Below are 22466 nucleotides of genomic sequence, written 5' to 3' on the forward strand. Positions count from 1 at the left end.
GCCTCCTAAGCAGCTGGGACTACAGGCGTGCGCCACCACACCTGGCTAATTTTTGTATTTTTAGTAGAGACAGGGTTTCACCATGTTGGCCAGGATGGTCTCGATCTCTTGATCTCATGATCCACCCACCTCGGCCTCCCAAAGTGCTGGGATTACAGGTGTGAGCCACCGCACCCAGCCACATTAAACTTTCTTGACCCATTTGCAGACAAGGGGAATCCGAGTCCTGGAGAGGCCAAGTAACCTGCCCACGATGGCCCATCAGCTAAGGAGCAGGAAGGAGAGAAGCTCTGAGCCCCTGCCTGGTTACCACCAGGCTCTACTGCTTCCTAGCTGAGCACCATACTGAGCCTCACTTCTTCCTTCTCTAAAATGGACATGATAATAGACCTTCCTCCTAGGATTACTGAGATAGTCCAGGTAGGAAATCATACCTGGTGTTACATGTAAGCTATCACTGCTATTGGTATTGCTGTTGTTATTTCAACAACTGAGACTCAACCAGGCCAGGCTAATCCCAGAGGCAAAGCTTTTATGCAGAGGACAAGCTTTTAACCAGTCCCACCAGCTAAAAGGGGTAGAAAGTGAGTAAACCAACCACATTTACTCTGAGACAGTCAACAAATACACAGCAGCCGCTTAGGACACACAAGGAAGTTAACTCATCCCCCTCATGACCTTGGGTCGCCAGGGTTAGATGTGCTTCTGCCAACATAGCCCGAGGAGGAGGGAGTGTTTTGTGGGAGCCGCTTAACACCCTGTCCTCCGCACCCGGTGAGGTCAGCACCCACTTTCCCACAACTATTGGGTAAACATACACCCAGCAAACCCTGCCTGAGGCCCAGGGCCAGGGACTCACGTGTGAAGGTCTGCAGCCTTCCACTGACTATTAGTGCAATGGGGTAGAGACTGGTAGAGAAAGCATTGTCTCAGGCTGGGTGCAGTGGCTCATGCCTGTAATCTCAGCACTTTGGGAGATCGAGGCAGGAGGATCACTTGAGCCTTAGGAGTCTGAGACCAGCCTGGGCAATACAGGGAGATCTTGTCTCTACAAAAAGTTAAAAAAAAAAAAAATAGCCAGGCATGGTGGTGTATGTCTGTGGTCCTAGCTACTTAGGAGGCTGAGGAGGGAGGATCACTTGAGGCTGGGAGGTCGAGGCTGCAGTGAGCCATGATCATGCCACTGCACTCCAACCTAGGTGCAAGAAAGAAAGAAAAGAAAGAGAGAAAGAGAGACAGAGAGAAAGAAAGAAAGGAAGAAAAAAGAAAGAAAGAAAGAAACAAAGAAACAAACAAACAAAGAAGGAAGGAAAGAAACAAAGAAAGAAAGAAACCAACAAAGAAAGAAAGAAAGAAGGAAGGAAGGAAAGAAAGAAAGAAACAAAGAAAGAAAGAAAGAAAGAAAGAAAGAAAGAAAGAAAGAAAGGAAGGAAGGAAGGGGAGAGAGAAGGAAGGGAGGGAGGGAGGGAGGGAGGGAGGAAGGAAGAAAGGGAGGGAAGGATGGGTTTGTCTCTCAACGTAAGAACCAAAATGAAGACATGTGTGTCTACCAGGTGAGGAGAGAAGTACGGAGAAGAAAGGGGAGGGTTGGTGGGTCCCCCAGGAGCCTGGTTGGCTGGTTGGAAACCAGAGGGTGTACTGGACAAGGCCCAGAATGCGGACCTGCCTGGGCCCCAATAAGGGGTCCCTCCCCATCCACAGGTAGACGCATCGCCCCGAGGTAGACACATGTCCCCTAGGGAAGAAGCCTTCGGCTACTCCTCACGTGCAAGTCACATGCTCCTCTCCCTGCTGGCACCACCATGGCCACAGCTGATGGGCAGGGGTGAGCACCTGGCTGCAAGCAGCCAATGGCGAGGCCAGCCAGCAGCCAATGAAATCAACAGCCCGATGTGGGCCTGGGCTGAGACCCACCCCCCAGAGGAGGCTGGGCTCGTGGCCAAGGACTCGGCTGCCAGCAGCAGGAGCGGCCACAAGAATGTGTACCCCTGGGGATGACAAGAAGCCCCTACAGTGAAATCCACTTCGGCTCTTCACGGGCCCTGGGGTCTTCACCTGGGTCCTGTGCCCACGAGGTCTTGGGCCCCAGCATCCTCACAGTAAACCCCTTTATCCCGGGGTCCTCAGTGCACGTCTGGCCCAGCAACGGCAATGAAACCAACAAACTGCCACACACTAGAGCTGGGTCCTGCGGCTCTGCCACCTGCTCTGTCAAACGCTGGGGTCCCCAGAAGCCACGGCCCCTGCCAAAGGTCATTTTGGGTCTCATTTGTCATCTGGGTACTTAGGGTAAAACGATATTTTCTGTGCAAGCCCCTCATTGCTTCCCTGTCTCTCCCATCCCCTAACTCCACCACCATGAAGGCCTCCCTGCTCTCACCCACTCCAAGAGCTGGATTTTCCCTGGCACAGAGAGCATAGCACCGACCCAGACAAGCCCTTTGCCACATGCGTCCTGCCAGGCATGATTCTGGCCACAAGGATGCATCAACTGCCACTGGAGCTGTGGGTGTGTTGTCACTGTGAAGCACATTGCAGCAGCAGCTGAGAGGAGAGACCAACCAGCACCCTGGGGAGGGGGCTGCATGCAGAGGTTGGGAAGTCACACTTTGGCTTCAAGCCAAGCAGAAGATCTGGCCCAAGAAAACAGGCTCATACCTCCTGGACAGGGTGGCCAAGAGACAGAGCTTCAGCTCAGGCTGGGACGCCAGTTGGGCAATAAAATTAATGACAATAATTATTATTATATAACAATGTTGATGACATTACTGGCCAACTTTACCTGCCAGACACTATGCTTGGTGCTTTATGTAGATCAGTTCATTGCCCTCATGTAGCAATCCTAGGAGGTGGGTCTATTATTATCTCTATTTTATTTTATTTTATTTTATATTTTTTAGAGGCAGAGTCTTGCTCTGTCACCCAGGCTGGAGTGCAATGGTGTGATCTTGGCTCACTGCAACCTCTGGCTCCCAGTCTCAAGCAATTCTCCTGCCTCAGCCTCCCGAGTAGCTGGGACTTCAGGTGCGTGCCACCACACCTGGCTAATTTTTTTTGTATTTTTTAGTAGAGACAGGGTTTCACCATGTTTGCCAGGCTGGTTTTGAACTCCTGACCTCAGGTGATCCACCTGCCTTGGCCTCCCAAAGTGCTGGGATTACAGGCATGAGCTACCTCGCCCGGCCTAATATCCCCATTTTAGAGATGAGAAAATTGAGGTTCAGAGGAGTGACATGACTTAACCAATGTCTGTGCTAAACTACAGTAAGATAGATAGATAGATAGATAGATAGATAGATAGATAGATAGATAGATAGATAGATAGATACCTATGTCTAACTACCTACCTACCTACCTATTGACCTATCTACCTACCTACCAACCTGCCTATCTCTCTATCTATGTGATATATATGAAAAAGACTCTTCAGAGAACTGACTCTGCTGATGCCCAGAATAGGGTGCGGGAGACTCATCAAGCTGATCTCCCATGCTGGGCCCAGCTGGATGTTCTGACTTTACCCAGAGTATCCAGATTTCAATTAACTATCTCGGAACCACAGTAAAGGAGCGTGTGCGCTATAGTTGATTGCTCAGCCCGAGCACAGGGCTGGGTAATCTTACTCCCAGAGGGTTCTGAGGTTGGAGCCTGGAATGGACCAGCTCTCTCCCTTGCCATTCAGCCCCACCCCCACCCCTGGAGCCAGGGACTCAAGCAGCCCAGCTTGACAGTCCTGGGAGGCCTGACCCCCGGCTGGGATCTCGTCATCAGCAATGCACCCAGGCTCTGGGGACAGCATGGTCTAGGGCCTCTGAATTGGCCATTATCCTAGCGGGAAGAAATGCTTCTCCCTCCAGGCTGAAAGCTGTCTTTGCTCCCAGTGATCACTTGCTCCCCAGCTCTGCACAGATTGACCCGCACACCTAGGCAGGCAAACACAGCAGTCCTAAGACCAAGAGCCAGGGTGAGGCCCTGGCAGAACAGCCATTGGAATGGGATGCCGGAGTGTCCCCAGATGGCGCCCGGGGGTGGGGTGGACCTCTTGCCACAGCAGAGTCTCCAACTGGAGCCTGGGGTTCACCCAAGACAGCCGTGGCCCTCCCTCTCACCACTTACCCCGTCCCCAGGCGCCTCTGCCTGAGCTCATCAGGCAATGACCGCAGTGACGTCACCCGGGAGGCCACGGCCAGCTTGAAATCCAGGGAGCTCCAGGATCCTGCCTGCTCCTCCCTCTCTCTCTAGCATGACTCAGGCAGGGACTGGCCCTGGGCTGCGGAAAGGCTCTCCACTTTTACACAATTGCTTTCCTCACTCAAACCACAGGCCCTGTGGGGGCCCCCTCCTCTGTCTCTCAACCCTCTGCGGTTAGGGTTCAGATGCTGGGCAGATGAAGACCCTGTTTGCTGCGAGAAGCCAAGACCAAGCCTCAGGAAATTGCCACAGTGAAGGGAAGCTTCCTCCGGAGACACCCTCTGCCTTGCACTACTGGGTCCCGTCAGAGCTTCTTCATCCTCCCTCCTCCCTCCTCCTCTTCCCATCTCCTCCTCCCCTTTCCTCTTCTCTAACCAAGAAAGTGACTTGATAACTAAATTCAACTTGTTAGTGACAGGACCTATGATTTTTCCAAAGGGTTGCTATATTTCTGAAAAACAAAGTCTGGTAGTAGAACATGTGTTCATTCATTCATTCATTCACGGAGGCGTGGAAGAGCAGTTAAAATCACGGTCAGACACCCTGTGGGTGTGTCCCAGCTCCTCTGCCATTCGCCACCTTTGCAACCATGGCCCAGTGACTTCCAGTCACTCCCCCATCCCCTCATGTGGGCTATGTTCTGGCTTGTTAAGATGAGGCTTGCTGGGGGCTCCCGGCAGTTAGGACCCGCCCAGGGCAAGGTGATGATTAGGAGAAAGGCTGAGGCTGGGCGAGGTGGCTCACGCCTGTAATCCCAGCACTTTCGGAGGCCTAGGCGGGAGGATCACATGAGGTCAGAGGTTCGAGACCAGCTTGGCCAACATGGTGAAACCCCATCTGTACTAAAAATACAAAAAATTAGCTGGGCGTGGTGGCCGGCACCTGCAATCCCAGCTACTCGGGAGGCTGAGGCAGGAGAATCGCTTGAACCTGGGAGGCGGAGGTTGCAGTGAGCTGAGATCGTGCCACTGCCCTCCAGCCTGGGTGACAGAGCAAGAATCTGTCTCAAAAAAAAAAAAAAGAAAAGAAAAGAAAAAAGAAAGAGGATGTCTCCAAAGGAGATGGGAGGGTTCTAGAAACCCAAATAGTAGAGTAGTAGAGACAGGCCCCAGGGGTGGAGAGGCCCAGGAAGGCAGATTTCTCCTTAATCACAAGGAAAGAAAGAACATTTTCTAGCAACAGAGAGGCTCTGGGGACATGGGATGCACAGCCTCAGGCCCACCTATCACTGAACATGTTCCAGCGTCCTGCAGAGGAGGGAGGCAGGCCTTGGAAAGTTCAGATTCCCCAAAGAGGAATGCATGGAAGCTTCTTTCCCTGCTGTCTACCTTAGTCAGCTCAGGCTGCCATAATAAAATGCCATTGCCAGGTGTGATGACTCACACCTGTAATCTCAGCACTTTGGAAGCCTGAGGCAGAAGGATCACTTGAACCCAGGAGTTCAGGACCAGCCTGGACAACATAGCAAGACCCCATCTCTAAAAAAAAAAAAAAAATAGCTAAGCGTGGTGGCATGCACCTGTAGTCCCAGCCACTTGGGATGCTGAAGCAGGAGGATGCCCTGAGCCCAGCCGTTTGAGGCTGCAGGGAGCCATGATGGTACCACTGCACTCCAGCCCAGGTGACAAAACAAGACCTTGGCTCTAAAATAAATAAATAAATAAATAAAATGCCACAGATTGGGTGCTTAAACAACAGGAATTTATTTCTTATGTTTGTGGAGACTGGGAAGTCCAAGATCCAGGTGCCTTCTCACTGTGTCCTTACATGGTGAGAGAGAGTAGAAGGAAGTTCCCTGGTGTCTCTTTTTATAAGGGTACTGATCCAATCTTGAGGGCCCCACCCTCATGACCTTATCAAACCCTAATCACCTCCGAAAGGCCCCAATCTCCAACGCCATCACATTGGGGATTTGGAGTTTGACGCACAAATTCTAGGGGGACACAATTCGGTCCTTAGCAAAAGGCCCCAATGGGTGTCTGCCCTGCCTCTCAGAACTGCACCCCACACCAGCAAAAGGGGGTGGCAACCTCCATGCTAGATTCCAATAGTATGTATGTATACATGTATGTATGTATGTATGTATGTATGTATGTATGTATGTATGTATTTATTTATTGAGATGGAGTTTTGCTCTTGTCGCCCGGCTGGAGTGCAGTGGTGCGATCTCAGCTCACTGCAACCTCCACCTCCTGGGTTCAAGCAGTTCGCCTGCTTCAGCCTCCCAAGTAGCTGGGATTACAGGCGCCTGCCACCAGGCGCCAGGGAAAAGACAAAGAAAGAAAAAGAAAGAAGAAAGAAAGAAAAAAGAGAGAGAGAGGGAGAGAGGAAGGAAAGAAGGAAGGAAGAAAGAAAGGAAGGAAGGAAAGAAGGGAAGGAGAGAGGGAAGGAAAAGAGACAGACAGAAAGAAAGAAAGAAAGAAAGAAAGAAAGGAAAAAGAGAGAGAAGGAGGGAGGGAGGGAAGGAAAAGACAGAGAAAGAAGAAAGAAAGAAAGAGGGAGAGAGGAAGGAAAGAAGGGAAGGAGGAGGGAGGGAAGGAGGGAGGGAGGGAAGGAAAAGACAGAAAGAAAGAGAAAGAAAGAAGAAAGAAAGAGGAAAGAAAGAAAGAAAAGAGAAAGAAAGAAAGAGAAAGAAAGGAAGGAAGAAAGAAAGAAAGGAAAGAAGGAAGGCAGGGGAGGGAGGAAGGAGGAAGGAAGGATTGATTGATTTTAAAAATGATTATTTAGGATCAGGCGCGGTGGCCTGTAATCCCAGCACTTTGGGATGCTGAGGCGGGCGGATCACCTGAGGTCAGGAATTCGAGACCAGCCTGGACAATATGGCGAAATCCCATCTCTACTAAAAACACAAAAATTGGCTGAGCGTGGTGGCCCATGCCTGTAATCCCAGCTGCTCAGGAGGCTGAGGAGTGAGAATCTCGAACCCAGGAGGCAGAAGTTGCAGTGAGCTGAGATTGCACCATTGCACTCCAGCCTGGAGGACACCACCTCTCTCCATAAAATGTGGGCAGTGGCACCTAGCAGAACGTTCTGAGGATTAAATGAGATTCAGGGTGCACTGCACTTTCCCCAGGCGCCTGGCCTGTGCAAGTTTTCACATGGGCTAGCAATGTTCATTAACCTGGATTCAATTCAGTCTGGGTTCTGGCTTCCCAAGACAACGAAATGCAAGGTTTAATCCTTGATTAGATCTTGAATTTAAAAAACAAAACAGGTTGGGCGTGGTGGCTCACGCCTGTAATCCCAGCACTTTGGGAGGCCTAGGCACGTGGATTACCTGAAGTCAGGAGTTGGAGACCAGCCTGGCCAACATGGCGAAACCCTGTCTCTACTAAAAATACAAAAATTAGCTAGGCATGGTGGCAGGTGCCTGTAATCCCAGCTACTCGAGAGGCTGAGGCAGGAGAATTGTTTGAACCTGGGAGGCGGAGGTTGCAGTGAGCTGAGATTGCGCCACTGCACTCCAGTCTGGGTGACAGAATGAGATCCCATCTCGAAAAAGAAATGAAAAGCAAAGCAAGACGGTATGGGTATTGTGGTTTTGGAAGAGCTCTCCTTAATCTTAGGAGATACATGATGAAGGGTGTAGGGGTGACATTTAAAAATGTCTGCAAAGTGCTTTGAAATAGGTCAGTTAAAAAAAACAAAAAAGAGAGGCCAGGTGTGGTGTGGCTCACACCTGTAATACGAGCACTTTGGGAGGCCAAGGTGGGAGGATCACTTGAGCCCAAGAGTTTAAGACCAGCCTGGTCAACATAATGAGACCAAACTCTAGAAAAAATGCAAAAATTAGTTGGGTGTGGTGTTGCATGCCTGTAGTCTCAGCTACTTGGGAGGCTGAGGTGGGAGGAACGCTTGAGCCTAGGAGGTTGAGGCTGCAGTGTACAAAGATTCCGCCACTGTACCCCAGCCTAGACAACAGAGCAGGACGCTGTCTCAGAAAGAGAGATCATATTGGGATGATGAAAATATTTTAAAACTGACTTATGTTGGTGGTTACACCATAGTAGGTTGGTAAATTGACTATGATGATGTGGTAAAATCCCTAAATTGCACACTTAAAAGGGTAAATTATGATATGGAAAATATGCCTCAATAATGCTACTTGAGACATTCACTGGATTAGACCAAATTGACCGATTTATTTATTTATTTAAGACGGAGTCTCTGTCACTCAGGCTGGAGTGCAACGGTGTGATCTCAGCTCGCTGCAACCTTCGCCTTCTGGGTTCAAGAGATTCTCCTGCCTCAGCCTCTCGAGTAGCTGGATTACAGGCTCATGCTACTATGACCACTTAATTTTTGTATTTTTAGTAGAGATGGGGTTTCATCGTGTTGGCCAGGCTGGTCCTGAACTCCTGACCTCAAGTGATCTGCCCACCTTGGCCTCTCAAAGTGCTGGGATTATAGGTGTAAGCAACCATGCCCCGCCTATTCTTTTTTCTTTTTTTCTTTTTTCTTTTTCTTTTTTTTTTTTTTTTTTGAGACAAAGTCTCACTCTGTCACCCAGGTTGTAGAGCAGTGGCATGATCTCAGCTCACTGCAGCCTTGGTCTCCCAGGCTCAAGTAATCCTCCCATCTCAGCCTCCTGAGTAGCCTGGGACTACATCCTGAGTAGCTGGGACTACGGACACACCACCATGCCCAGCTACTTTTTAAATTTTTCATAGAGACAGGGTCTCACTATGTTGTCCTGGGTAGTCTCAAACTCCTGGACTCAAGTGATACTCCCACCTCGGCCTCCCAAAGTGCTGGGATTACAAGAATGAGCCACCACGCCCAGCCCTGATTTTTTTGTTGTTGTTCATTCCAAACAATTTTAAGTTTATCCCTGTGCTGGCCCTGGGATATGAGCGAGATAACCACCACCCCTTCCCAGAGGAATGCACAGCCCAGTCTAGGCAGAGCAAATACATGGTGAGGATTCTAGGGCCAAGAAGAGGGCAGGGATAAGATCACATGAGCTTAAGTTATGGGGCCCTGCGTGCCTGCTGGAGATAGGATAGTGTTCTCACTCTGTTGCCCAGGGTGGGTGCAGTAGTGCGGTCACAGCTCACTGCACCCTTGAACTCCTGGGCTCAAAGGATCCTCCCACCTTAGCCTCCCAAATAGCTGGGACTACAGGCTAGGTAATGTTATTATCATCCCTACTTTACAGATCAGAAAACCGAAGCCTAGAAAGGCTAAGACCATCACCCAGGGTCACAGAGCTGATCAGGAGCAGAGCCAGAAGATGGACTCAGGGCCTTTATGCCAAAGCCCAGGCATTCAGACTAACACGAATCATTCCAGCCTCCAGAAGGTGCACACGCCTCTGGTTGGTTCAGTGAACAGGGGTGGAATGATATCAATCAGACAAAGGGAAAGGGTCTGGGCATGGCGGTTCACATCTGTAATCCCAGCACTTCGGGAGGCCGAGGTGGGTGGATCACCTGACCTCAGAAGTTTGAGACCAGCCTGGTCAACATGGTGAAACCCCGTCTCTACTAAAAAATACAAAAATTAGCTGGGCGTGGTGTCATGCGCCTGTAATTCCAGCTACTTGAGAGGCTGAGGCAGGAGAATCGTTTGAACCCTGGAGGCTGAGGTTGCAGTGAGCCGAGATCACGCCACTGCACTCCAGCCTGGGCGACAGAGCGAGACTCCATCTCAAAAACAAAACAAAACAAAACAAAAAACCCAAAGGGATAGAAACTGGAATTTCCCTGAACCCCTGTTGGCATCTGTTTTAATGCTTAACAACTGCATCTCGGGTAACTTAGGAGACTAGAAAATAGGTATTTTGGCCGGGTGCGGTGGCTCACGCCTGTAATCCCAGCACTTTGGGAGGCCGAGGCGGGCGGATCACGAGGTCAGGAGATCGAGACCATCCTGGCTAACACGGTGAAACCCCGTCTCTACTAAAAATACAAAAAATTAGCCAGGCATGGTGGTGGGTGCCTGTAGTTCCAGCTACTCGGGAGGCTGAGGCAGGAGAATGGCGAGAACCCGGGAGGTGGAGCTTACAGTGAGCCAAGATTGCGCCACTGCACTCCAGCCTGGGCAGCAGAGCGAGACTCTGTCTCAAAAAAAAAAAAAAAAAAGGAAAAAAAAAAGAAAATAGGTACTTTACCAATACCTGTGAATGGTATTGAATGATATTGCTACTTTAACTAGGGGTTCTTTTGTTACCTGACTCCTGTTTTTCTTTTTCATTTTCTTTTTTTCAAGACAGTTTCACTCTGTTGTCCAGGCTGGAGTGGCACGATTGTGGATCACTGCAGCCTCAAACTCCTGGGTTCAAATGAATCTTCTGCCTCAGCCTCCAGAGTAGCTGGGACTACAGGCACCATGCCACCAGGCCCAGGTAATATTTTATTTTTTGTAGAGACAGGGGTCTTGCTATGTTGCCCAGGCTGGTCTCGAACTCCTGGACTCAAGCAATATGCCCTCCTCAGCCCCACAAAGTGCTGGGATTACCGGCGTGAGCCACCGCACCCAGCTGTGACTGCTGTTTTTCTACCTTTACCTGTCTCTCATGTTCTCAAGTAAATTATCATCCTCTGTTTCTTGCAAAAACTGATTCTTCCTTGTGTCAAGTTGCTAGAAGGATCCCACAGCCCTCCCTCGGGTCTCCCCATTTCTAACCCGTAGTACTGGCCCCATCTAGTGGTTAGATTAGGGAAGTACCCCAGGCTCCCTCGGCCAAGCCCCTGGCGAGGCACGGTTGGGGAGAAATGGATGCTTTCTAGCCCTTCTCTCACCGGCAAAAATAGCAACACTCTTCAGGTTACCAAAGGCCAGATTCTCCTGATGTGTGTAAGCTATCCCTCTAGAGACCATCTTAACTTTTTCATTTAATTATCAACTATTTCATCAAAGATAGAGGAGAGAACATACTCTCCACCCAGATTTAGCAGAGATTACATTTTGCATTTTACTATATTTGCTTCAAATCTCTTTTTTTTTTTTTTTTTTGAGAGAGGGTCTCGCTTTATTGCCCAGGATGGAGTGCAGTGGTGCCATCACAGCTCACTGCAACCTCAACCTCCCGGGCTCAAGCAGTCCTCCCACCTCAACTTCCCGAGTAGCTGGGACTATAGGCGCGCAACACCATACCCAGCTAATTTTTGTATTTTTTGTAGAGACAGGGTCTTGTTACGTTGCCCAGGCTGGGCTTGAACTCCTGGACTCAAGTGATCCTCCTGCCTCAGCCTCCCAAAGTGCTGGGATTACAGGCATGAGCCACCGTGCCTGGCCTAGATCTCTATATCTTTAATAAAACTAAAACTTCAAGCCCCATCACTTTGGGATTCCTCTCCAAAAGTTATCTCCATGTCTAAGTTGAAGTATATCAATTCCTTTTTTTAAAAAATTTTGTCACTCTCAGGATATGCTTAAATATCAGTTCCTTTTTGTGTTTAGTTTTTACTTCAGCTACACATGTATTATGTGTCCATAAAAATGGATAGGGTGCTGTGTTGTTTTTTGTTTTTGTTTTTTTTTTTGGAGATGGAGTCTCGCTCTGTCACCCAGGCTGGAGTGCAATAGTGCAATCTTGGCTCACTGCAACCTCTGCCTCCTGAGTTCAAGCGACTCTCCTGCCTTGGCCTCCCGAGTACCTGGGATTACAGGCACCCGCCACCAGGCCCGGCTACTTTTTAGTATTTTTAGTAGAGACAGGGTTTCACCATCTTGGCCAGGCTGGTTTTGAATTCCTGACCTCGTGATCCACCCACCTTGGCCTCCCAAAGTGCTGGGATAACAGGCGTGAGCCACCGCACCCGGCATGCTGCATTTTTAATATGTAAATAGGCCAGGCATTGTGGCTTATGCCTGTAATTCCAGCAATTTGGGAGGCCAAGGCAGGCAGATCACTTGAGGCTAGGAGTTTAAGAACAGCCTGGCCAACATGATGAAACCCTGTCTTTACTAAAAATACAAAAATTAGCTGGGCGTGGTGGCTCATGCCTGTAATTCCAGCTACCCGAGAGGCTGAGGCATGACAATCGTTTTTTCCCGGGAGGCGGAGGTAGCAGTGAGCCGAGATCACACCACTGCACTTTAGCGTGGGCAATAGAGGAAGGAAGGAAGGAAAGAAGGAAGGAAAGGAAGAAAGGAAGGAAGGAGGGAGGGAGGGAGAGAGAAGAGTGTATATCATCTTGCTACTTTTGCTTTTTCCTCAACTCTGACTCCTGAGATTTACTGATATGGACACACAATAGTTCAAGTGTATCCATTTTTAACTGCTATATAATATTTCATTGTAGAACTGAACAATGGTTCATCCATTCTCTTAGTGATGGAAAATTAGGTGTGATTCCAATGTCTAATGTCATAAATCATGTTGCCATGAGCATCCTTGAATGTGTCTCCACATGCAAATGTGTGGGTTCCTACAGGGCAGGGCTCTGCACCCTCCTTGCCATGAAGGTCACAGATGAGCAGCAGGAAGGTCTGCAGTAGCCAGAGCTGTGGCCCAGGTAGCTCCTCTGCCAGCTCCTCCCCTAGCCTCACTGGCTGTACAAATACCTACACTGTCCACATGAGCCATAATGTGATAAAGACTCAAAGAGTGGAATTTCTGGGTTGCAGGGTACACACATCTTCAGCTTCACTGGACATTGCCAAACTGGCCTTGTCTTCCTCCTTTGCTCTTTAACTGACTTCAGAGACTCTTGTTGTCCCCAAGAAATCTGGGAGCTGCCATTTCCTGGGTATGTAGCTTAGGACTGAAGATCATCCAACCATCTATTCATTTCACAAATATTTGTTGACATCTGCTGTGCCATGAGTAATAAAGTTGTTTGTCTCTGACCCAGGAGACTCATGTCTTTGCCAGCCACCATGTAACTGGCAGGCTAACTTGTGGGCTTGCAAGCAGGGCAAAATATCAGACCCTTCCCAGTTCTTGACAAGATGCTCTCCTTTTCCCGCCATGTGTGAAGCACTGGTCCAAGCCCTGGAGGGTGCAAAAGAGCCAAATCCCTATCTCTACAAAAAAAAAAAAATTAATTAGCTGGGTGTGGTGATATGTGCCTAGTTCTAGCTACTCTTGAGGCTAAGGAGGGAGGACTGCTTGAGCCCAGGAGATTGAGGCTGCAGTGAGCCATGATCATACCACTGTACTCCAGCCTGGGCAAGAGAGTGAGACCTGTTTCTTAAAAAAAAAAAAAAAAAGTCCCTATGGATACAACCCATTAACCTCCTTCTGCAACCTCGGATTGGTACCTTGGTGGTTGTCGGGCCTCTGAGCCCAAGCTAACCCATCATATCCCCTGTGACCGGCACGTATACATCCAGATGGCCTGAAGCAACTGAAGATCCACAAAAGACGACATTCCACCATTGTGATCTGTTCCTGCCCCACCCTCAACTGATCAACTGACCTTATGACAATACACGCTCCCCGCCCTTGTGATAATGCACTTTGTGATATTCCCCCGCCCACCGCCCTTAAGAAGGTACTTTGTAATATTCTCCCCGCCCTTGAGAATGTACTTCCTAAGATCCACCCCCTGCCCACAAAAAAATTGCTCCTAACTCCACTGCCTATCCCAAACCCATAAGAACTAATGATAACCCCACCACCCTTTGCTGACTCTCTTTTCGGACTAGCCCGCCTGCACCCAGTTGAAATAAACAGCCTTGTTGCTCACACAAAGCCTGTTAGTGGACTCTTCACACAGAAGCGCGTGACAGTGGTGTGTGATCCCTTTGGACAGCAGCTTTCCTTTCCCCACTATGTTTTGCTTTCTAAGTGGGTTGACAGCCTTTGAGTCCACAACCACCGGGAGGTCAACGGGCGTGAGCAAGTCTCAGGGTAAGAAGAAGCCAGCTCAGGGATAACCATATCCTGCAGAGAACTCACAGGTGAACAACTGAGCCTTGATTGAAAATAAATGACGGCCAAGGTCACACAGTCTATAGCGGCGTGGCTGAGCTTCAGACCGGTTATTCCCACGCCCAGTGCTTGGCCATCCCGTTTGTGATCGGTTTGGGGCTGGAGGTGGCACTTGGTTAGGGAACAATAGTGGGAGACCAGAGTACTGTGTATTCACAAACCCAAAGAACAGGAAGCTTTTCAACAGCAGCAGTAGCAATGTCCTTGGGGTGTATTTCAACAATACTGCACTTATAAAGAATTCTCCATGGGACAGCAGGAGTATCTCAGGTAAGGTTGGGAGAGCTTGGAGGAACGAAGCCTGGAGGGATTATGAAAGCAAAATGGACAATATGTGCCTGTATTTCCCCCAGCACAGCACTGATCCCACTGGACTGTAATTGCTGGGGACTTGCCCCTCTGCCCCCACCTCCCGACCAGGTGGGAGTCCTGGTGGGTGGTGCCAAGTCTTTCTTATTGACTGTTGAGTCCCAACACCTGACAAAGAGGAAGCCCCCGGCCACAAGTAGATAGGGGATGCATTTCCAACGTGAGTAGAATGGATGATAGTGGCCCAGAGTTCAAGGAGAGAACTTCCTGGAAGACTTGGCTCCCACAACAGCCACCCCCTTATTTATTTATTTATCTATTTTTTTTTTTGAGACGGAGTCTCACTCTGTCACCTGGGCTGGAGTGCAGTGGTGAAATCTCAGCTCACTGCAACCTCCACCTCCCAGGTTCAAGAGATTCTCCTCCCTCAGCCTCCCAAGTAGCTGGGATGACAGGCACCTGCCACTACACCCGGCTAATTTTGTGTATTTTTAGTAGAGACAGGGTTTCACCATGTTGGCCAGGCTGGTCTCAAACTCCTGACTTCATGATTCGCCTGCCTCAGCCTCCCAAAGTGCTGGGATTACAGGCGTGAGCCACCGCGCCTGGCCGCTAGCCATCCCCTTATTATCTCAGATTCCTGCACGTCCGTCTCACCGTACTTGCATCCCACACCATGGTCACTTGTTTACTGGTCTGTCCTGAAAGCTCTCTGCTGAGAGGCCTCCACACTCATCATCTTAAGTGACCCTCAGGCAACCCTATAAGGTAAGGACAACCATGCCACCAACGAGGAAACTGAGACCTAGAGGGGTTGGGCAACCAGCCCAGGGTCATGTTCATGATCATGGCAGAGGTGGAATTGGAACCCAGGCATTGTGCTCCTCCCTGTTGGACTGTTGGGGGAAAGAGTCAGGACACTGGGGTGGAGCCCCCACATGAGCCCAGCGTCTGTCCTGGCTCCAGCACTTTCTTTTTTTCTTTTCTTTCTTTTTTTTTTTTTTTGAGACGGAGTCTCACTCTGTCGCCCAGGCTGGAGTGCAGTGGCGCTATCTCGGCTCACTGCAATGTCTGCCTCCTGGGTTCAAGCAATTCTCCTGCCTCAGCCTCCTAAGCAGCTGGGATTACAGGCGCGCACCACCATGCCCGGCTAATTTTTTGTATTTTTAGTAGAGATGGGGTTTCACCATGTTGGTCAGGCTGGTCTCAAACACCTGACCGCGTGATCCCCCGCCTCGGCCTCCCAACAGCACTTTCTAGATGTTTAGGAACTCCCTTGGGCAAGTGACTTCATTTCTCTGCAAGTCACCTTCTTTGCCTGCAAAATGCAGATTTCCAATCCGCTACCTCACAGGGTTGCTCTGGATTTAAATGAGATAATGACTGTAACGCTCCCAGAGCCTGGCACTGAGCAAGCATTTCATAAATAAAACACTATCTATCTAATAATAATATTTGTAACCATCTATAACAAATATACTAATCTATAGTGACAGAACGAGATCGGTGGTTGACAGGGAGAGAACGTGAGGGGAGAGACAAGAGAAAGGGATGACAAGGTGGCACAAGGAATCTTCTGGGCATGGTGGGTATGTTCACGACCTTGTTTGTGGCGATGGTTGCATGGGTGCGTACAAATGTCAAAACTTAGCAAATTGCACTTTTTTTTTTTGAGATGGAATTTCACTCTTGTCGCCCAGGCTGGAGTGCAGTGGCACGATCTGGGCTCACTGCCAAGTCCACGTCCCGGGTTCAGGTGATTCTCCTGCCTCAGCCTCCCAAGTAGCTGGGATTACAGGTGCTCGCCGCCACACCCAGCTAATTTTTCTATTTTTAGTAGAGCTGGGCGCTGCAAATTGCACACTTTAAATATGTGCAGTTTGTTCTGTGTCAATGATACCTCAATAAAGCAGTGTGAAAGCACATGCGATATTCTATGATCTTAAGATTTCATAGGAATAGGGCTGGGCTCAGTGGTTCATGCCTGTAATCCCAGCACTTTGAGAGGCCAAGGCAGGGGGATTGCCTGAGCTCAGGAGTTCGAGACCATCATCCTGGGCAACATGGCAAAACCCTGTCTCTACTACAAATACAAAAATTAGCCAGGCATGATGGCACATGCCTATAATCCCTGCTACTCCGGAGGCTGAGGTGGGAGGATTGCCTGAGCCTGGGATCTTGAGCCATCACTGCACTCCAGCCTGGGTGATAGAGTGAGATCCTGTATTTAAAAAAAAAAGATTTCATAGAAATAGGCCACACATGGTGGCATGCACGTGTAATCCCAGCTACTCTGGAGGCTGAGGCAGGAGGATTGTGTGAAGCCAGGAGTTCAAGGCTGCAGTGAGCTATGATCACACCTGTGAATAGCCACTGCACTCCAATCTGGGCAACATGGTGAGACCCTGTCTCAAAAAACAAAACGACGAAACAAAAAGGTTGCATAGAAATAAACTGTGTAATATTGATACACAAAATACCAAACAAGAAAAGGAGAATGCCAAATATCATGTACCCCTTGGAAGGCCCCCTGAAAGATAGAGGCACTAACATTTGGATGAGAACAGAATTTAATGTAAACTTTTGACTTTTTTTTTTGAGACAGGGTCTGGCTCTGCCTTCAGGCTGGAGTGCAGTGGCGTGATCACGGCTCACTGCAGCCTTGACCTCCAGGCTGAAGCAATCCTCCCACCTCAGCCTCCCGGGTAGTTGGGACTACAGGAACTCGCCACCACATCCGGCTAAATTTTGTAGTTTATAGTAGAGACGGGGTTTCGCCATGTTGCCCAGGCTGGTCTCAAACTCCTGGACTCGAGCAATCCACCCACCCTGGCCCCCCAACGTATTGGGATTACAGGTGTGAGCCACAGCGCCCAGTGGAACTGTTGACATGTTAAATAATCTAGACTTTTGAACTTTTTCTGTTAAGTTGTTGTTGTTTTTAGCCCATCTGGAGGTTGCAGATAAGCCCAGCTGCAGGTCCTCAAACCTGCAGCTCACCAGCACCCTCTAGTGCCTTCTTGGTGTGAGCACATGAAGTCTCCCAGCTGTGGGCAGTTTCCCGTCTATCAGCACAAGGACACCTCTCTTTAAAATCCTCAAGTCTGACGCTGGGTGGGAAATGGGTGTGGATCCGGGGCGCTGTCTCTGGTCCTGAAAGTCACAGTCAGCTGCGAAACCTAAGTCCAGAGCCCTCTCTGCAGCTGAATCACCCTTCCACACCTTTCCCAGGCCTTCTTTCCATTTATGATGGCCTCGACGAGTAAGCTGGTAGTTTTGAATGTTTTGGATTGACAATTTAAATGTCATAGGCAATGCTTCTGGACAGCAATGATAGAAAGAGTAAGGAGAGTGGCCAGGCGCAGTGGTTCATGCCTGTAATCCCAGCACTTTGGGAGGCCGAGGCGGGCGGATCACAAGGTCAAGAGATTGAGACCATCCTGGCCAACATGGTGAAATCCCGTCTCTACTAAAAATACAAAAATAAATTAGCCGGGCATGGTGGCGCATGCCTGTAATCCCAGCTACTTGGGAGGCCGAGGCAGGAGTATCGCTTGAATTCGGGAGGTGGAGGTTGCAGTGAGCTGAGATCACACCACTGCACCCCAGCCTGGCGAGAGAGCGAGACTCCATCTAAAGAAAAAAAAAAGAGAAAAAAGAAAGAAAGAAAGAAAGAGTAAGGAGAATGGGAACGAGTGTGAGATGAGTAATATGCTGGCCTTCTAGCAACACAGGACGACAGCCAGCACAGACTCGGACAATTTATGAAAACCAAATATACAGTCTTAAAATAGAATGTGGGCCTAAATACCTGGAATCACCCCCGTGGTAAGATTTGTAACAAAAAGATTAATATGAGACCAGGCACAATGGCTCACATCTGCAATCCCAGCACTTTGGGAGGCCGAGGTGGGTGGATCACTTGAAGCCAGGAGTTCAAGACCAGCCTGGGCAACATGGTGAAACCCCGTCTCTACTAAAAATTAGCTGGGCATGATGGCGGGCGCCTGTAATCCCAGCTACTCGGAAGGCTAAAACATGAGAATCGCTTGAACTCAGGAGGCAGAGGTTGCAGTGAGCCAAGATTGCACCACTGCACTCCAGCCTGGACAACAGAGCAAGACTCTGTCTCAAAAAAAAGAATTAATGTGAACGGAGTTAATAATTTGAATGGAGCAGTGGACCCAAGAGCCATATTGGTGCTGACAAAATGGCAGCATTTATTGTATAAAGCTTCAACGTGGTCCTGCAAGAGCTCTGGCACCTAATGACATCTAGAGAAAATGTGAAAGTCCCTCAGCTGCCTGAAGGACAGTGTTATGGCAACTAATCCAAAAGAAGAGCTACAGGTCCTTCTTGCCTTTTTGACTTAAGCAGTCTTCATTGTTCACAGCAGTAAATTTTCTTTTTGGTTGTTGTTGTTTTGTTTTGTTTTTTTTTTTAAGATGGAGCCTCCCTCTGTTGCCCAGACTGGAGTGCAGTGGTGCGATCTCGGGTCACTGCAACCTCCACCTCCTGGGGTTCACGCCATTCTCCTGCCTCAGCCTCTTGAGTAGCTGGGACTACAGTCACCTGCCACCACACCTGGCTAATTTTTGTATTTTCAGTAGAGATGGGGTTTCATCATGTTGGCCAGGCTGGTCCTGAACTCCTGACCTCAGGTGATCTGCCTGCCTCGGCCTCCCAAAGTGCTGGGATTATAGGCATCAGCCACCGTGCCTGGCCAATACCCACACTTTTAAGGGAACAAAATGTTATCCAAGTATTTACAGTAGCACTAACTGGGGGTGGGGAGACCCAGGCACAACGACCCCCAGCCCATGGCTCATTGATCCAAGGTCAACCAGCCCAGGTTGGGCCAATCAGGTCCTCTCTCTGCAAACTCAAAGTTGGACCCAAGCATGCAGGTATGGGAAGTGGCCAAGCCTGATCCACCTGTGGGCAATGTCCCAGCAAAAGGTCCCCCAACTCCTGCCCCTGAGTCCTAGACAACACCCCGGGGACCCTGCTCTTCCTGAGATGTGGTCAGTCATTTCTCACATTTTTGTGAGTCACCCTGACCTCCTCTAACAAACCCTAAAAAAGCCCAAATCACGGTCAGCGTCTGTTGTTTGGAAACAAAGAACTTCAACTGATGGAGCAATTGGCTACTTAAGAGAGTGGGAGATGGGCAGCAGGTGCTTAGCGAATTGTGGGGACTGGGAAGCGATTACTGAGCCCACATGGGGAAAAATGCAGAGAGGCACCCCCCTTCCCACCATCCATCTTCCAGGAGAGGGGAGTACCAGTGCCCACAGTGACAAAGCAGCTAAGCCAATTTCACCTGGACCTCCCTGAGGACCACCTACCTCCAAGAGGTCAGCTCCAGCACCCTGGGAAGTCACTGCCTCAGGCCAATCAATGGAGGGGTGACAGAGGCCAAGATCCCACCACCACCAGCACCAGGGCAGAGCAGTGGCTCTTCATGAAAGTGGGACCCTGAAATCTATTGAAAGATACCTTTGCTGGGCATGGTGGCTCACGGCTGTAATCCCAACGCTTAGAGGCCGAGGCGGGAGGATTGCTTGAGCCCAGGAGTTTGAGACCAGCCTGGGCAACACAATGAGAACCCATCTCTACAAAAAATAAAAAATTAGCTGGGCACAGTGGCACACGCCTGTAGTCCAAGCTACTCAGGAGGCTGAGGTGGGAGGATCACTTTTGCCTCAGAGGTTGAAGCTGCAGTGAGCGGTGATCACACCACTGCACTCTAGCCTGGGTGACAGGGTGAGACCCTATCTCTAAACAAACAAACAAACAAACATATCAGTGCTATTTTGGCAAGCTGTAATCAATGGAATGCTGACTCAATTCGGAATTTTAACATTCAGAGGCTCATGGTCATAGGAACTTAAAAAAATTTTTTTTGAATTTTAATTGTGCTAAAAAACACATCATATAAAGTTTACCATCTTCACCATTTTTCAGGGTACAACTCAGTGGCATTAAGCATATGCACCTGTTGGACATCCAATCATCTCCAGAACTTTTCCTCTTCCCAAACTGAAGCTCTTGTCTCCATTAAACACTAACTCCACAGCCCCCCTTCCCCAGCCTCTGGAAACCACCTTTCTACTTTCTGTCTGTATGATTTTGACTTCTCTAAGGACCTCATAGAAGTGGAATCTTACAGTGTTTGTCTTCTTGTGATGGCTGATTCTACCTAGTATGATGATCATAGAAACTTTTGATACACTTTAAAATTTCACTATATAGGCCGGGCGCGGTGGCTGACGCCTGTAATCCCAGCACTTTGGGAGGCCGAGGCAGGCGGACCACCTGAGGTCTGGAGTTCGAGACTAGCCTGACCAACATGGAGAAACCCCATCTCTACTAAAAATACAAAATTAGCCGGGGGGATGGCGCATGCCTGTAATACCAGCTACTCCGGAGGCTGAGGCAGGAGAATGGCTTGAATCCAGGAGGCGGAGGTTGCTGTGAGCCGAGATCGCGCCATTGCACTCTAGCTTGGGCAACAAGAGTGAAACTCCATCTCAAAAAAAAAAAAAACAATTCACTATACAGCCAGGCGCAGTGGCTCATGCCTGTAATCCCAGCATGTTGGGAGGCCGAGGCGGGTGGATCACCTGAGCTCAGGAGTTTGAAACCAGCCTGACCAACATGGTGAAACCCCATCTCTACTAAACAAAAATCAGCTGGGTGTGGCAGCGGGTACCTATAATCCCAGCTACTCGGGAGGCTGAGGCAGAAGAATCGCTTGAACCCAGGAGGCGGAGGTTGCAATGAGCCAAGATCATGCCATTGCACTCCAGCCTGGGCAACAAGAACAAAACTCCATGTCAAAAAAAAGAAAAAAGACACCAAACATGTGAGGTGGGCAGGAAACATGGATGGAAAACCCCCACTGTGCTTTCCTGTACCTGGGGTGGTGGAACTGCTGAGGGGTCCCTAGAGGCAGAGATGTCCAAGGCACGACTCCTGACATGTAACGGGGCTAGAGTTGCCGCCCGAGAAAAGGTCCCCCAAGCCCATCAGATTGAGCCTGCTTGGAGGCAGCCTCCCTAACCTCTGCAGAATAGCCCCCCTGGGGGTGCTAGCTTTTGAGTTTTTGAAGCAAAGTACCTAGAAGGACTTAGCTGAGATCACAAAAGAAATTGAGTTCACTGCCATAGGGCCCCCAGCACTTGCTTATGATGACATAGGAGCCGCACTAAACCCGCTGCACTGGAAGGGATGAGAAGCCTGAGGCTCAGAGAAGGTGGGTGACTTGCCCTGGGTCACACAGGAAACATGACAGCCAGAATGTAAACTCAGGCGGGTCTGCTTCCGGAGGCAGCATTTTGGAAAATTCTTTGTCCGACAGAAAGGGAGTGTGTTTTTCACAAATATTTGACATACGCCTTGGACATAGTACCGCACTAAGCACTACAGGTGAACAGAACAAATCCTGCCTTCGAGGTTACCGTACATTCAAGCAAACAGGGAAACGAGTCCCATTAGAGTATGAGAAACAGGACAGGCAGGGATGGGATGGGGAGGAGCAGGAGGACACCTGGGGAAGGTGGCAGGTCAGGGGAAGAGGCTGGGCCTGGAGCAGTCACCTGGCCTGGGGCTTGTCTTAGCTTCTCCCAGTAGTTCCCTCACCTGCAAATGAAACATTTGTTTCACAAGGTGTCATGAAGACACCTGGCTCAATCTTAGATGCTCAATTAAGGTAAACTCCTTTCATTTCCAAGGGGAAGGAGAGGAGCAGGGAAGAGGTTTCCTGAGACCTGTGGTGGATTAGAGATGCCCAGAGGGTCCCCAAAGGGGATGTCCTGGCCCTTGTGTGGTCAGTCCTTCATGGTGGGGACAGGCCCTTACTCTGCAGGGCCTTAGGCATCCCTGGCCCGCAGATCAGTCTGTCCTCTTGGAGAGTGTTCTATCCTTGAACACCAAGCACATATTTATGGAGCACCTACTGTGTCCTGGTCAGAGTTCTGGGAATTAGAGACACAGAGGACAAAAGACAAGGTCCCTGCCCTCCTGAAGCTCTCGTGGCAGTGGGAGAGGAGGGCAATAAACAAGGACTCAGATGGGGTGA

The 22466-nt window shown here is 49.5% G+C and overlaps 1 pseudogene, besides 6 other annotated features; it reads left to right on the forward strand.

Annotated features, from left to right (window-relative positions):
• Positions 1964-2530: an enhancer, noted in NCBI's record as "H3K4me1 hESC enhancer chr9:132537345-132537911 (GRCh37/hg19 assembly coordinates)". NCBI's record gives its function as "activates a minimal SCP1, AML or CMV promoter by ChIP-STARR-seq in primed H9 embryonic stem cells {active_cell/tissue: H9 hESC(primed)}" and the evidence as "EXISTENCE:reporter gene assay evidence [ECO:0000049][PMID:30033119]".
• Positions 3922-4437: an enhancer, noted in NCBI's record as "H3K27ac-H3K4me1 hESC enhancer chr9:132539303-132539818 (GRCh37/hg19 assembly coordinates)". NCBI's record gives its function as "activates a minimal SCP1, AML or CMV promoter by ChIP-STARR-seq in naive H9 embryonic stem cells {active_cell/tissue: H9 hESC(naive)}" and the evidence as "EXISTENCE:reporter gene assay evidence [ECO:0000049][PMID:30033119]".
• Positions 4068-4362: an enhancer, noted in NCBI's record as "tiled region #14524; HepG2 Activating DNase unmatched - State 4:PromP, and K562 Activating DNase unmatched - State 1:Tss". NCBI's record gives its function as "activates a minimal TATA promoter and a strong SV40 promoter by Sharpr-MPRA in HepG2 and K562 cells {active_cell/tissue: HepG2 | K562}" and the evidence as "EXISTENCE:reporter gene assay evidence [ECO:0000049][PMID:27701403]".
• Positions 8592-9092: an enhancer, noted in NCBI's record as "H3K27ac hESC enhancer chr9:132543973-132544473 (GRCh37/hg19 assembly coordinates)". NCBI's record gives its function as "activates a minimal SCP1, AML or CMV promoter by ChIP-STARR-seq in naive H9 embryonic stem cells {active_cell/tissue: H9 hESC(naive)}" and the evidence as "EXISTENCE:reporter gene assay evidence [ECO:0000049][PMID:30033119]".
• Positions 17148-17337: an enhancer, noted in NCBI's record as "active region_29120". NCBI's record gives its function as "activates an Ori minimal core promoter by ATAC-STARR-seq in GM12878 lymphoblastoid cells {active_cell/tissue: GM12878}" and the evidence as "EXISTENCE:reporter gene assay evidence [ECO:0000049][PMID:35858748]".
• Positions 17328-17622: a silencer, noted in NCBI's record as "tiled region #3625; HepG2 Repressive DNase matched - State 12:CtcfO, and K562 Repressive DNase unmatched - State 5:Enh". NCBI's record gives its function as "represses a minimal TATA promoter and a strong SV40 promoter by Sharpr-MPRA in HepG2 and K562 cells {active_cell/tissue: HepG2 | K562}" and the evidence as "EXISTENCE:reporter gene assay evidence [ECO:0000049][PMID:27701403]".
• UBE2V1P4 (UBE2V1 pseudogene 4) lies at positions 18094-18735 on the forward strand (annotated as a pseudogene).

The sequence above is a fragment of the Homo sapiens genome, chromosome 9 (genome assembly GCF_000001405.40).
Source record: "Homo sapiens chromosome 9, GRCh38.p14 Primary Assembly".
Taxonomy (NCBI): domain Eukaryota; kingdom Metazoa; phylum Chordata; class Mammalia; order Primates; family Hominidae; genus Homo; species Homo sapiens.